This window comes from Homo sapiens, chromosome 5 (assembly GCF_000001405.40).
Source record: "Homo sapiens chromosome 5, GRCh38.p14 Primary Assembly".
Taxonomy (NCBI): Eukaryota; Metazoa; Chordata; class Mammalia; order Primates; family Hominidae; genus Homo; species Homo sapiens.
Genome location: NC_000005.10, coordinates 166,785,826 through 166,787,208, shown reverse-complemented (window position 1 = coordinate 166,787,208; position 1,383 = coordinate 166,785,826). Strand labels below are relative to the sequence as shown.

At 48.4% G+C, this 1,383-nt stretch overlaps 1 annotated feature.

The window, feature by feature from the left end:
* Window positions 564–1,065: an enhancer, noted in NCBI's record as "H3K4me1 hESC enhancer chr5:166213149-166213650 (GRCh37/hg19 assembly coordinates)". NCBI's record gives its function as "activates a minimal SCP1, AML or CMV promoter by ChIP-STARR-seq in naive H9 embryonic stem cells {active_cell/tissue: H9 hESC(naive)}" and the evidence as "EXISTENCE:reporter gene assay evidence [ECO:0000049][PMID:30033119]".

The following is a 1,383-nucleotide window of genomic DNA, read 5'->3' as shown; positions in this document are numbered from 1 at the left end:
CTTTTGTTCTCTTTATTCGCCTGGATCACATGCGGAGCCCTGTAATGCACCTCTGCTTTCACACTCACTGTGCTGTTTGTCTGAAATGCTTCCCCCTTTCTTTTTCTGCAGATTCCTCTTCTTCCTTCATGACTCAGCTCAAAAAAAGCACTGTAAAGGGCACAGATTTTCCTCTCTAAACATGCTTCCTTCTTGAGCTAAAATATAGTTTCTGTTGGCTTCTTAGGTGGGGGAAAGTGTTCACCATTGTTTCTAACCACCCCCCCGCCGCCCCGCTTTTTTTATTGTGAGACAGTCTCACTCTATCACCCATCCTGGAGTGCAGTGGCGTGACCTCAGCTCTCTGCAACCTCCGCCTCTCAGGTTCAAGCGATTCTCCTGCCTCAGCCTCCTGAGTAGCTGGGACTACAGGCACGTGCCACCACGCCCAGCTAATTTTTTCGTATTCTTAGTAGAGACAGGGTTTCGCCATGTTGGCCAGGCTGCTCTCAAACTCCTGACCTCAGGTGATCCGCCAGCCTCGGCCTCCCAAAGTGCTGGGATTGCGGGCGTGAGCCACCGCGCCTGGTCTTCTAACCCCATTTCTTATTTACGTTCGCGGGAGGTAATGGAACTTTTGTAGTAAAGAGGGAAAGTGCTATTGTGTATTCATTATCCTCCTTGGGGACTTTTCAGAAATGAGCCACCTGCAGCCCGACACCTGTGTCTCCCCTGCATGGTGAGCCACTGAGGCCAGCTCTGCCCTAGCCAGGGGAGGTGGCAGTGGCCCAGCTCCTCTGCTGGAGATTGGGGGAGGAATCAGTATATTTGAGCAGGTGGCTGCATATGTGGGAACAGGAAAAAACACGTGGCCTTTAGTCCCAGCCACATTCTCTCATTCAGCTTTACTGTAATGAAGCTGCTCATTCCATCACTCTCACTCTTATATTTATTTCTCAATTGGTTTGGAAGCTAAAGCTGAGAAGAGAGTGAATAACCACTTGTTCTGAAAAATTCATGCCAGCCTTCCTTGCCTCCTCCTCAGCAGTACTCTTAGAGAACTACTAGGCCACTCATTTTCCCATGTACCTGGCAGTTTTCTCATGGGACCGAGCCAGGGTGGAGTTCATTGGTACCTGTATCCTTGGTGTCTAGCGGCATTTGGTACACAATACACAGAACTGTGTATTCAGCATTGTGTACTGAGCATGTGGTAGGTACTCATTAAATGAAAGAAGTTGGGTAATTCATGGAGATTCTCCTAGTGCCTTCTCAGTTTGTCATTTCAGCAGTAACATTACAGCACTTATCCCCTTATAAGGTATAATACTCGGTAGCTCTGCATCGAAAACAGCAAGAATATCACATCTCACTGGGGAGACTCAAGGTTTTTCCGTGGTCCTC